At 34.5% G+C, this 12,879-nt stretch overlaps 1 annotated feature.

Moving 5' to 3' along the window:
• Window positions 9,959-10,253: a silencer, noted in NCBI's record as "tiled region #14274; HepG2 Repressive non-DNase unmatched - State 24:Quies". NCBI's record gives its function as "represses a minimal TATA promoter and a strong SV40 promoter by Sharpr-MPRA in HepG2 cells {active_cell/tissue: HepG2}" and the evidence as "EXISTENCE:reporter gene assay evidence [ECO:0000049][PMID:27701403]".

The following is a 12,879-nucleotide window of genomic DNA, read 5'->3' as shown; positions in this document are numbered from 1 at the left end:
TAAGTCAAAGCAACTGGGGCATGATTTTGAGTGCCTGGAGTGGCATCATCAACATCCGGTAGGTACTAATGGGGGTTCCTTTGGAAGACTGGCCATTTTGCCAATATTTGTGGTCCTCAGTCTGTCTTAAAGGGGCCCTGATTTGCAAACTTCACAAAACATTCTACATAGCCACTATCTTTAAAAACAAAAACAAAGCCGGGTGTGGTGACTTATGGCTGTAATCCTAGCACTTTGGGAGGCCGAGGCGGGCAGATCATCTGAGGTCACGCATTCAAGACCAGCCTGGCCAACATGGTGAATCCCCGACTCTACGAGAAATACAAAAATTAGCCAGGCCTGGTGGCGTGTGCCTGTAGTCCCAGCTACTCGAGAGGCTGACGCATCAGAATCACCTGAACCCGGGAGGTTAAGGTTGCAGTGAACTAAGATGTGCCACTGCACTCCAGCCTGGGTGACAGAGTGAGACTCTGCCTCAAAACAAAATCAAAAACAAGGAAGCAAACAAAAACCTTGAAATGTAGAATTACAAGCATGGCTTGCTAGGCCCAATAGATTTTATTTTCCAGTTTGCTGGCTGGTAGTTAAAGCCAAGAAAATGGTGATAACCTCCAACAAGGCAAGCTCAGTTCATTTGTATTCTTAGCATCCTTAAACCCTTATAGTAAGTGACTGTACCTTCTATATGTCATGCAGTATTATACTGACATATTTTACTTACCTCTTTCATTAAATATAAGTTGCAGTATGTCAAGGACTATTTCTTTACATCAACACAGAATTGAAGAATTGAGAACATTACGAAAGTATTAAAATGAGAATAAGCTTAGAGGTAGATAATAAGAGTTTTTATTATAGATAATACTAAACTGAATTTATGTAGATAAATGGGAAAATTTCATTTTAGACAACTTGGTGATTCCATAAATCACTGAGATTTATTTAGGACACTAAAAATCACTCAGATTATTTAGGTCTATGCAAGGTACACCAAATAAGCACACCTCATAGGCAAACTTATTTTACTGACTGTTTTTCTAACTCATTAAAGACAGCCTGAGTCTCAAAGCCTAAAAATCTTCTAAGTATCTCTCAATAGATTCAACAATTTTTATTTTGCTATTTGCTTTATTTAAAAGTTAGTCATAATAGGTATTAAATAGTTTTATGAGGTTCTCTGCATTTGGACATAGGCCATATGTGGAAACTTGCCTTTATTCAAATGGACCTCTCTCTAAATAAGATCTATAAAAATGAAGATATTATTTACATTCACTAAAAATATTTTGATGGCAGTGAGAGATACTCAATACAAACAAACTTTAAGATGGCCCTTTTACTGGAAGGATATTGAGTATCTTGCAGAGCACCCAAGCTATAGGCAAATCAGGCAACCAATAAGTCCAGTAATTCCAATATCATCAGGATGATCATCTCTCTTCTCATCTCCACCTATGGGTCACCTTAACACCTCTCTCTCTCTCTCTTTCTCCTCACATCCACCTTTTCATTCTTTGCCTGGCATTCTCTCTCTCTCTCTCTCTCTCTTATTCTTTCTGTCTCCCTACTCCCACCTCCAGCAAGCCTAGGATCTGCTCACAAATGCTCAACTCTAAATATTAAAACTTTAGCCACAATAAATACATACAATAAGAAGAAAATACTAGAGAAAGAATGCGTCAACCAATCTGGGCCACGTGCCAATAACTAGACCAATTGATCTGAGGCCAAAAGAGTGGGATACTGTAATTTGTCCAGTTATAAACTAATCAACTATTGTGTAGTAAAATGGCATCTCTAGGGCAATGGAGTGGGGTAAGATACAGGGCCCAGAAGAAAAGTTAGGGCCGCTGAGCAGACAAACGAAAGTTCTGTATTTCCAGGAAGAAATTAGCATGTAACTTAATGGGTTTTTTAAAGCAGATTTTTTAAGCATTAAATGTGACATCCACATGTGCAGATCTTTTATAAATTGGTATTTAGTTACTTGAGCATAAATGTCAATAGTACAGGCTGAATAAAGTCCAGGCTGCTTAAAAGGCCTTCTGTCCTGTTCTATTTCCACTGCTATTTATTTAATATTCCCAGAATGGTAATAAAGCAAACAGTGGTATTTATCTTCTTTGTGTGAAATGAATTTTTGTCTGTTTTAAATATGTAGTGGTTTTCTTTAAAGTGGGATGTTCACACCATCACATTTGAATTGACCTTTATGAGTACGAATGATTGTTTCCTTCTATTGTTTAAAGCTATGCTTCAAAGAAATGGCAATATAGCAGCTACATGTTTAATATGATAATGACCTCATTTAGAATAATTTTTAGTGTGTAGTCTTGTTAAAATTCCATCCAAATTATGTAATATTTGTAGAAACCATTTTATGAAAATTTTAATAAGATAGTATACATTAAAAAAACTTTAAAAATCTATACAAAGGAAAATCACATTTCTCTACTATACTAACATGGATTTTAGTATGATCACTATAGTCCCAAAATATTCAAAAATAAACGATCACCACAAAAACAAGGGTTATAAAAAAATTAAATACGGAGTTAAAAATAATATTTTCTATTGTGCCCATAGAGCCCACACTTAAGAAATTATAGTGCTTCCAGCCTTTCCCCTTAATTATCCTGGAGAAGAGAGAAGCCACTATTTGATTTGGTTCCATGGACCCCTACGTGGACTTTTTGATAAAAAAAAAGTTATGAAACTATTTGATTTGATTTTAGGAGAAAACCCCAGTCTCCAACCTCAGCTTGCCTACCCAAGAAGGAAAAAGGGGGCTCAGAATGGGGCAGGAATTTCCTGTCCAGGTCCGTCTTTCACTACCTTTGAAACAGAGTTCAGCTCCAGGTCTGTTAGCTGATGACCCCTGATATAATACCCTGAGGCAAGATGTCCTTGTCGGCTGTGCACCTCACCTTCTGTAGGCTATGAGGCACCTTTGCTTAATAAACTTGTAAAACACTGACAAACCAAAGGCTTTTTCCAGAAACTAAAATATTAGTTCAAAGAGTTTTAACCTCTCAATCTTCTTTATCAAACTGTGTAAGCCATAGGAGGCAGGGGAAAATGGAAAGAAGTGCGCAGAAGAAAATCTCATTGCACCATCAAAACTATGTCAGAAGCTATCATTGACATCCTTGAGATAAGAGGCAGAAAACAAGATAAATAAGTTGTCAAAACAGACAAACAAAAGGAAATTGAAAGGGAAGACAAAGGGCAAAGAAGAAAGGAGTGAAAACAAAAGAGCAAAAAAGCTTATCAATCATAAGAAAGCTCATCCCTCTCAACAAAGGGAGGAGGCATGATGCAAGTTAAGGAAAACTAATATTAATCATACTAAGCCAGTGCATGGCATACTTATTATCCATGTCATTTATGCCATGGGGAAAGAATAAGAGTAAATAGTATACAAGTTAACTCATTATTGATAAAGCATGAAAAGTATTGGCTTTTGAAAATAAATTATATTGTCCATCTCTTGTGGGCTTTTAAAAATATTCCTCTATTTAAAAAATGGTTTCAGTTCAGTTTTTAGTATCCAGTGAGCCCTCTGTAGCTAGCTCAACTTATAAAGTTTAAACTATTATCTTGTCAGTTATAGTTTCTGTCATTGTCATGCACATAGGACTGTGGAATAAAAAGAAAAACTAAAATGAGTTAAGTTTAAATGTGAACATGAACTATCATTTTCTTTTTTCAAGTAGAATCTTGATGAGTAACTCACTGTCAAAACAATGCATAGAAACATGAGGAAACTGTCAAATTAAAAGAAAATTAGTATAATAAATGCATAAAAATAGACTATGATGTGAATAATTCTGTGGAGAATAAAAAGCAATAAAGATAAGTTTCAATACAGTATCCAGTTAATTTTTAAGAGCAGAAGGAAAAACAGGTTAGAAAACACGCATAGGAATAAGGACATTCTTTTTAAGCCTTCCATAATAGCTCTCCTGAGAAATAGTTTTTAATTATCATATATGATACAAATGAGCATTGACCATCCACTGGAGAGCAGAATCCTCATCCATAAATATAAATTAGTTTTAACAGGCAACTACATTTTGCTACTATCACAAAAGACTATTTTCTAATTATGTATTTGTGCTAGTCAATTTGTCATAGATGACTGTGGACTTCAACCTAAGAGAGTATTTTTTTATTAATAGATTATCTTAAGCATTAGCTGAAGTGTTTGTTAGTTTTCCATTTTAAAATATTTCTCCCTGTTGATATCTTTTTTTGCCCCCTTTGATAGAAAAAGTGGTTATACTTAAGGCCTGGAATAATTATAAGGGAATGGAAAGAAATTGGACACCTCATATTTTTCTAAAAAATTTGTTTAATAATTTAACACATGTGTTTTTTGAGATTTCTAAATTGCTATGGTTAAAAAAGTAATAGAAATAACTTAATTATATAATGGTCCTCCACTATGGTAGGTCTTTGGATATGCATGACTGTAAACGTCTGCAGTAAAGAGACAATTAATTGGAGAATTAGTAATTCTCCACAGAATTATTCACACATGGTAGTGTAGTGAGTTACCATGATGAATCTGGACTGAGAACGCAGTAAAAATTCCCAGATAAGCCCAATTGCCTAAATAAGCCTTTGAAAAGTATTGTTTGTTTTAAAGCATCAGCCTGAGCAATGTCAAATTCTCACAGATAACAGAATATATACTTTAAGTGAATGAACATATAACCATACACAAAAATAAGATAAGAAACCCTTCATGTATCAGAAACCATGGAGAATTCCTGAGATGGTACAACGATGGGAACAAAAGAAAGAAGGAGAGTGTAACAAAGGAAATACCAGGGATAATGCCACCCAAAAGACTGAGGGCTCCACCATGACCCTCCAGGCCTGAGAGAAGGGGAGCCTGTGCACCGGGGACATCCCAGGAACAACAGAGAAGTCCACCACCCTGCAGCTGCCCGCTTCCAGGGAGCAAGGTAGGACGTGGAAGGAGACAGTATGGGAGTTTATGTTAAAGAGATCACACAGCTGCAGGGGGCTGTCCATCTCTGGAGACAACAAGAAAAACAATCTCTAAGCAAACACATGTTTCCTTAAATTTAACTAAAGACACAGTAGAGTACAAAATAAGCCTTAGTAAAAGTTCCCAACATTTCTGCCAAGCAGGTTGTGCAAATGAATGCAGCAGAAATTCTAACAAGTAATCTTAGATACAAATATACACACTCATGAATCACATCACCAAAGAAATAAAGCAACACAATGAAAGAGAAATAAATTCAACCAACAAAACAATTTACATGTGAGGTAATAGTGTTGATAAAAACAATCTAAAAGAGACTTTTAAATATTCCCAGAAAAATAAGGGAAATAAGTTTACTTATAAAATGAAAATAGGCTGTCATTAAAAAAAAAGAATCAATCAGCCTTACTTCCCAAGGGGAACAAATCCAAGCACTAACTCTAAATCAGTTCATAACTGATTCCTTTAAACTTACATGTTAGTTTTAGTCCAGGAAGTTTCCTAAATTTTCACAGGCTTGATGTCTCCCTCCTTCCTCCCTTCCTTCTTCCCTCCCTCCCTCCCACCCTCCTTCCTTTCTTTCTCTTTCTTTTTCTTTCTTTCCTTCCTTCCTTCTTTCCTTCTTTTCTTCTTTCCTTCTTTTCTTTTTTTCTTTCTCTCTCTTTCTTTTCCCTCCATCCCTCTCTTCCTTCCCTCCTTCCTTCTCTCCTTCTTTCCTTTCTTTCATTAGTCTCCCTCTTTAAAATGTCATATAGCTTCCCACTATCATCTTCAATAATAGCATAGCATTACATCCCTGGTGTCATACCTACTTTTTTTATTACCAGCAGCCAAATGCTTAACACTTCACCTACACAGATGGTCAAATGAGTCACTCTATTTGTAAAGGTCTAAAAGCATATACATAAAATACTAAGTCTTGATTGCTTATCTCAGGCTGAATTTCTATTTCATTTTTTTATAGATGAGAGACATACAAAATATTTTTCAATAACTATTTTCTGAGAAAACAGCCATACCCAGCCCTTAGCCAAATCATTTCCTCTATTATGAAGAAATGCTAAAGGCAATGCAGTCCAGCTCAGCAATTCTACTTTTCATAGGAGTCAACATTCTGAATGTATTTGTTACATTAAGAAAGGAAACAGAGACTATCAATCAGACTTTCAGATCCTGTTTTAATCAGAACCCATTCAGGAAACAGTCTGAAAAGCCAGAACTTTCAATGCCCCTGTTCAAGAAGGTTTTTTTCTAACTGATTTGCAGCCCACAGAGGAAGAACAAATACTGTCGATGCTTTCTATTTAATTTGGTATAAGTTCATAAAACAAATTGCCCAGATAATTGGACATGTCTTCAATTCTACACTACATTTTCCATAGATGTAAACCAGATTTATAACTTAGAAGTGCAGCAATAAAAGTGCATAGCTTGTAACAGACTTGTGCCAAGTCTTATGTCAAAGTGAAATAAAAAATGAGACAGACCACTTTGAGTAATCAAATCTGTCAGCTCAGTTAACTCCTTTTAAAGTAATGATGATAAACTCTAAAGTCTGCAAAACAAAACAAGTTTAATTATTTCTATTAGTACAAATATAGGTATGCAGGAAATAGATATTTTAAATAGATTTCCCAAAAATAAACTTATCACCCTAAATCCTTCAAATAATTTTTTCTTGCAGTTTTTTCTATTATTCCTTTTTTTTTTTTTTCCTTTGGAGAATTTAAAACCCACTCACACATGGAAACTACTATCTTGAGGCTAAATTCCCATTTTCCTCTGAGTTTTTCCACCCTTGCTGAAGTCAGAGTTGGCAATTATGCTTTTCTAGACTGGACCGTCTGGTCACCATTTGTCTGGTCCCTGGTCCAAAAAGGAAAAAAAAAAAGATCAACAATATTATGTTGGAAAACATAAGGTGGCTTTTAGGCACATCTGTTAGTCCTGTGATAACTAAATAAATCCAGTTATTATAAGCAAAGCTTAAACCTAAAGACGTCTTCTAATTGAATTCTTCCTTTTTGTGGTCAAGAAAAGGGAAGAACATTAATGGTAATAAAATAGGGAAAGCAGAATTTCCATCTGCAAAGACTTTCCTAAATCTATGTACTTCTTCAGGCTATTTGCCAAAGGCAACATTCCAGAGAAACTGAATTTAAATAATACCCCATTCCAGGAATGAGGAAAGCAGATACACGAATATGTGGAGATCAATTGGTATTAGTAACACATTTCCAGAATTTGAATTTTAAAAAGCCTTATTTATTTTAGAGAAATAAACCACTTTTCCCCCAAAAAAATCCCTCCTTGTATTAAAGTAAATTATTTTACTATTTATTGCTAAGGTATCTAATACTTCCCTCTGCTTCTTTTCTTCCTTCCTTATTTCAGTAATAGAAACATCCACCATTTGGCCAAACTAGAAACCAAGGTTATCATTCTTGAATCAAATTAAAGATAAATACTTCATAGCTCTAACTTTTAAATATTTCTCAAAATAATTATTTTCTCTCTTATTACAATTACTGCTTACTTCCCTGTCTGCCTAAATGCTCTATTTCTTTTACCACAACACTTAACATCTCATCTCTATAAAAACATCGCATGGCAGTTCTATTGTTATATGTTCTTGAATATGCCTTCTCCAAGTTTGAGCTCTTGAAGGAGGAGGATCATGTGTTTTTCATCTGCAATGTCCTAACACCCAGCTGATAAAAAAAAAACACTAAGTTATTATTTGTAAAAACACTAAGTAATTATTTGTAAAAATTATTGATGAACAAATCAATGAATGAATGATAGACACATTACTGACTTAAGTAGTGAAATCTCTGTTTCAACTGTGGTCAACATATGTAATTTTTACCTTATTAGGTCAAATGGAATTGAACAATTGGACCAATTTTGACAAATTTGCTAAAATGCATTCAGTGTCTCTTGAAGTTGAGTTCACGTGTAGGCACAATAAAAGAGTCCCATTGTTTTTTTTAATTGGCATAGATTTTTTTTTTCTTATAGTTCGTTCTGCATTGCACTGTTTTCTTAGATTTTTGTGTAACCCTTTTTGAATATTTTTAATTGTTTTGTCTTGTTTTTTCTCTTGGTTTTAAAATTCAGAACTGAATGTAACTGTAAATATATCTTTCATTTTCTTTATAATTTATCTAGTGGATTTACATGCCATTGAGCACTTAATAAATTTATATGCTAATTTTAGAGCATATATTTGGAAATAGAACCAAAGACAAGTTGCATAAAATGCCACTTTCTACAAAGACAAATGGCATAAAAAATATATGGACTTTTTTGGGGGGAAGTATTCATGTAAATTTTTTAAGGAAATTAATGCAATCTGCTCATTAGGGGAAAGCCTATTTGAAATAAATTTTTTTTTCTCTAACCTCATATTTAGTTTTGTGTGTGTGTGTGTGTGTGTTTCAGTGAGCCCTTATTTGGGCACATATCCCATTAACTGAAATAAGGGTGGTTAGCCCTCAGGGGAGCTCTGTTGCCTTCTTCAATTTCTTCTGCCATATAGAAGTCCTCTATAAAAACCACTCCATGACGTGGACTATTTTAACTCTTACATACAAGTTATGCAAACCTTAAACTGCATCTTACAAGAATGGAGGCAGCTCTTCAATCCTAATTTACATGTTGTTTACTCTTTTCTACTATCATATTGCTTTGGAACCATATTTATATCACTAGATACAGATTTTCTCATCTTCTTTGCCTGGGTTTTAACATTTACTATTATGTTCACTTCTTTAACTCAGCATTTATTTTTTGAAATTATGAAATATTTAAACAAACTCTGGAAAATGAGCAGCAGTCATGTTTCAGAAGCTTGCTCTTTTCTCTTTTTTGTTAGTATTTCCACTACAGAATGAGCAACTCACTCCAACTAACTCTCCTCACAACTAGTGCTCTGTTTCTAATCTGAATTCACATTAGAACTCCAAATCCACTCTTATTGGTGGCAAGACTGATTCCTTTACTCTCTCACCTCACATATGAAGGTTGTTACAAAGTTGATGAGGATAATCAAGTCATACTGGAAAGAATGTTTTGGACTGTGAATATGCAGCTGCAATGAGGATATATTTTGGCACTTCCAGCATTATAAAAGCTAGAATGATTAATAAGAAGTATGGAATTGATCTACTGAGAATACTGTAATCCCTTCATGGTTATTAAGAGATGTGTGAAGCACATAAAAACAAATGTAGATTGTTACTAAAAGGATTCATGATTTAATTTTATCCCCTTTAAAAATATATTTTTTGAAATTTTACAAAAAATTCTAAAGTTGTGACTTCCACGCTTAGATCAGTGTTTTTAAATAATGCCATATCTTAATAGGTTGCAACAAAAATTATATATTCCAAGTACTCTAAATTGTACAGTAGAATCAACACACACAGTTACTTCTGTTTCCTCCTGACACCTCCCTAAAATAATAAAGTGGATTTTTAAGGCATTAAACCACAAATACAAGCGTCATGTTAGAAAAGACAACAGCAGTGCACATTCGGAAGCTAGAAAGCAAGCAAATAGACAAATAGCAACTTAGCCTTGAAAAAGGTGAATCCCAAGATAGCCGTGGAGACAGTCTAGAAGCAGAAGAAAAATGATTTACACTGCAAAACTCAGAAATCCCCCAGAACTGACAGCACCAGATATTCACAAACCTGAAAATAAATTATGGTTAAAATTTATCAGGATTGTTGAACATCTGCAAACATCTGCAAACAGAGAATAAGATGCCTAACTACACCACAGCTAGGCAACTTCTTCTGCAGAAGGCTGAAGTTTACCTTCCATAGAGGATGAGTTAGAGGGATGCTGAACTACAGAACAAAGGGCATACGAAGGGCACATTAATTTTAATCAGCTACATGCGGAACCATGAGAGCTCTCCGATCCTTCCTCTTACATAATGTTAAGAATACTAGCAGTCAGCATCAGACCCTCCTGGTAGGAGGTTAGATAATTCTTCAACGGGAAGTCTAACCAGACTAAGAGAAAACATGTGAAAAACACTAGCAGTTAGGAGTTCACAGCAAACAGCAGGGCCAGATCACCTAACAGAGAGGCATACCAGTTGACAACCCTAGAGCTTCTAATCAGATATTTAATGACTCATTCTTAAGTGTTTATGGGTGGCCAAGGATCTTAGTACATTTCAGGAAAGCCTCTAACATGAAGGACACAGACCAAACAGAAATAACAAATTTGGATAAAATAGAGTAATGAAAGCTGAAGGCTTTACACATGTGTATATGTTGTGTGTTTAGCTTCTGGCCATCTAGAGATAAGAAATTTTACTTCAATGAAAAAGAACACCATGATATTAAAAAATCAAGACCCAGATCAGTAAACCTTTTGGAAATCAGAAATATCATGGCAGAAATGAAAAAAAAAAAACTAGAAAATTTTGAATGCTTGAGATATCTAAGAAATTAGAATAAAAAGTCTAAATGTAGAAAATTCAACATGAAGAAAAAAATAGAGCATCAATCCAAAAGGTTCATTCTCTGAATAATAGGAAAACACAAAGAACAGAGGAAATTATGTTAAGGAAATTACCAAGCACATGATTCAACAAATGTTCCAACTGGAACAAGTTCAGAATGAAAAGCCCATGAAATGCCCAACACGGTGGGGAAAAAAATCTTTTTAGGCCTACAACAAAGCATATCACTTTAAAATTTAGAGCACAGGGACAAAACTTGCAAAATGAAAATATCAGAATGGGCTCAAACTTGTAAGCAGCAACACTAGATGCAAAATTTTTTTTAAAAAAGTAATTAAAACTATGACTTCAAAATTAGGAGTAAATATTACTGCCATTCTATACGTTTATAGCAGCCAAACTGGGAATCGAATGTGAGAGTAAAGACATTTTCATATGTACAAATTAACACAAAATTGATCTCCCAAACACTCTTTCTCAGGAAAATAACAGAAGGCTTGCCACCAAAATGAGTGTATAAACCAAGAAAATGAAAGACATGGAATTTTTTGGATGCCAGTTTAGAGAGATTACGAAACAACAATAGCTCTGCAAAGGACCAAGCAATAAGTCCAGAGGAGACCAGGAAGAAAAACTTTCCTAGAAGGATTTCGTCAAGAAGATGGAACTAATAAGAATGTAAATAAGTTTAAAATATCGAGAAAACATGTATACTTTAGCAGACAGTTTGGGGATTAGTTATTGCTAGGTATATAGAAAACAGAGCAACCAAAACACATACACACACAATTTTTTAACTCAAAAATAAAACTAAAGAAAATATCTAAGAAAGGAAATATAAACATAACTTATGTGAGTTATCTGTGAACAAAATATTTATATTCTCATTATATAATAACATAAAAAGAAATTATAAATCAAACAAAAAAATAAACATATTTGGAAAATGAGAGGACAAAGTGAAGGAAATTGGCCAGGCATGGTGGCTCATGCCTGTAATCTTAGCACTCTGGGAGGACGAAGCAGGCAGATCATTTTAGGTCAGGTGTTCCAGACCAGCCTGGGCAACATGGTGAATCCCCATGTCCACCAAAAAATACAAAATAAAATTTAGCTGAACATGGTGGTGTATGCCTGTAGTTCCAGCTACCTGGGAGGCTGAGGCAAGAGAATCACTCGAAGCTGGGAGGCAGAGGTTGCAGTGAGCCAAAATTGTGCCACTGCACCCTGGGCGACAAGAGCAAAACTCCGTCAAAAAAAAAAAAAAAAGTGAAGAAAATTAGAGATATAAAAGATTTATATATTCATTTTTCATTGTAGCAAGTCAAGACATAATGTCTTAAACTAGAAAACTACAACTACATCACTAAAATATACAGGGAAAATATCAAAACAATGGATGAAAGCTTTTAAATTTTTGAGGAGAGGTGGATAAAGGAGAGGAAAATAGACATTATTTTTATAAAAAGTCTTGTAGAAATATTGGAATATAAATTTCTATAAAAAAATTACACATTTACTTAATTCTATATTTCTTTATTTTAAAAGCAACTTTAAGCAATAATTGTATTAAACTTATAAAGGTTTTTTTGAGAAATGATATGCTATATTGAAACAAGCTTGGAGAAAATTCTGTGCTTCGAGAAAGAAACTCCATCTTAATATTAACTAGGTTCGTGGCTGTTGAGTGTTGAGGTTGATGAAATAATTGGCAATGGTAGTAACTGAAACCAGAATCAATGCTGATGATTTTTTCAGAGGGATATTTTCTGGTGCCAAAAAAAATTTTGGAAAAAAATTGCAAGATTCAAGTACTAAGAAAATTTTAAGGTTTGCAGGAAATAGATAAATTACCATTAATGATGTTATGTGTGGTGAACAGCTCTGCACGTATCTTCTCAAGTAATGTTCTCAGAAATTGCTAAGGTAAAGATGTTCAGATTTTAAGTAAGAGAGTTTGCATCCACTCATATCATGTCTCCTTAATACTACAGGAAGCTGTCTTCTTTTTTTTCCCCCTCAAAGTTAACTTTTACTTTGATCCAACAGTTACATCCTCCTTCTGTATAATTTATCCCTCCTGCTTTTGGCTCCGAATTTATAGGCTATAAACACGCTCAAAATGGCTCTCCCATTTTAAAGATTAATGAATTAATCTAGAAAATCAGACCCTATCTCATCTCCATCGATTCCTACTGCATACATTAGACTAGCTCTCCCCTTCGCAATTAAGCCTTCAAAAGAATGGCTGAAATTGCTATCTCCATTTTCTCACATTTACTTCTTCAAATGACATAATAAGTTTCGATCCTTCCCATGGCCCTGTAAATGCTCCAGTAAATGTCACTATTTTCTAATGGGTTGTTTTCAGCCCTTA

The sequence above is a fragment of the Homo sapiens genome, chromosome 13, assembly GCF_000001405.40.
Source record: "Homo sapiens chromosome 13, GRCh38.p14 Primary Assembly".
Classification (NCBI taxonomy): domain Eukaryota; kingdom Metazoa; phylum Chordata; class Mammalia; order Primates; family Hominidae; genus Homo; species Homo sapiens.
The sequence above is the reverse complement of the archived record's forward strand: the minus strand, read 5'-3'. Positions and strand labels throughout refer to the sequence as shown.